The sequence below is a fragment of the Homo sapiens genome, chromosome 18 (assembly GCF_000001405.40).
Source record: "Homo sapiens chromosome 18, GRCh38.p14 Primary Assembly".
NCBI lineage: Eukaryota > Metazoa > Chordata > Mammalia > Primates > Hominidae > Homo > Homo sapiens.
In genome coordinates this window covers 13,180,172-13,181,316 of record NC_000018.10, presented here as the reverse complement: position 1 = coordinate 13,181,316, position 1,145 = coordinate 13,180,172, and the positions used below count along the sequence as shown (strand labels likewise).

Sequence of the window (1,145 nt, the reverse complement as noted above, 5' to 3'; positions counted from 1 at the left end):
AAGAATTTCAAAACAACACCACGGAATTTTAAAAGCCAGACAAAAAAGAAATATGCCGTATGTTTTCATTTATATAAAAATGCCAACTAATCTCTAATGAGAGAAAACAGACCACCAGTTGTTTGGGGACAGGGTGGGGGGCAGGGAGATGCTGGAGATTAGGACTGGGCAGGAGGGAACTCTGGGGGATGGATGTTGTAAATGAAAAAGTATCTGAAACAGGTCTCAATCAATTTACAAGTTTATTTTGCCAAGGTTAAGGACCTGCCTGGCAGAAGAAAAGACAGAATCCCAGAAGCAGTCCGTGGTCTGTGCCTTTTTCCAAAGACGATTTTGAGGCTTTAATATTTAAAGGGGAAAAGTGGGCTGGAGGGGAAAGAGGAGGGGTATGGTAATCCATATGTTGCAAGAGAAAAGGAGCAGGTAGGGCAATAGTCAAGTATGTACTGGTCTCCTGCTAAGTAAACCAGCACTTTACATAAAAGAAGGTGAACATAGAGTAGCTCCCTGCAGAGACGTTTAACCTGTTATCTGTAGCTATCTGCTTAGGAATAAAAGGAAAGGCAGCTTCTTCAATGACTCAGCTTTCAGCTTGGTATTTTTCCTTTTGGCAGAGTGAATTGGGGGCCCTTTTGCAACATGTTGATTGTCTTGATTATGGTGATGGTTTCACAGGGTTACACCTGTGCCCAAGCTTAGGCAGTTGTACTCTTTAAATTGGGGCAGTTTGGCCGGGCGCGGTGGCTCACGCTTGTAATCCCAGCACTTTGGGAGGCTGAGGCGGGTGGATCATGAGGTCAGGAGTTCGAGACCAGCCTGGCCAACACAGTGAAACCCCATCTGTACTAAAAATATAAAAATTAGCTGGGCGTGGTGGCAGGTGTCTGTAATCCCAGCTACTTGGGAGGCTGAGGCAGGAGAATCACTTGAACCCAGGAGAAAGAGGTGGCAGTGAACTGAGATCATGCCACTGCACTCCAGCCTGGGTGACGGAGCTAGACTCCATCTCAAAAAAAAAAAAAAATTGGTGCAGTTTATTATATGTCAATTACACCATAAGAAAGCTAGGGTTTTTTCGGTTTGTTTTTTTAATCACCAGATCTGCCCCTTACTGGCTAAATGGGAAGATGTTGGACAAGCTCCTG

At 44.7% G+C, this 1,145-nt stretch overlaps 1 annotated feature.

Annotated features, from left to right (window-relative positions):
- Positions 223–857: an enhancer, noted in NCBI's record as "OCT4-NANOG hESC enhancer chr18:13180459-13181093 (GRCh37/hg19 assembly coordinates)". NCBI's record gives its function as "activates a minimal SCP1, AML or CMV promoter by ChIP-STARR-seq in naive and primed H9 embryonic stem cells {active_cell/tissue: H9 hESC(naive and primed)}" and the evidence as "EXISTENCE:reporter gene assay evidence [ECO:0000049][PMID:30033119]".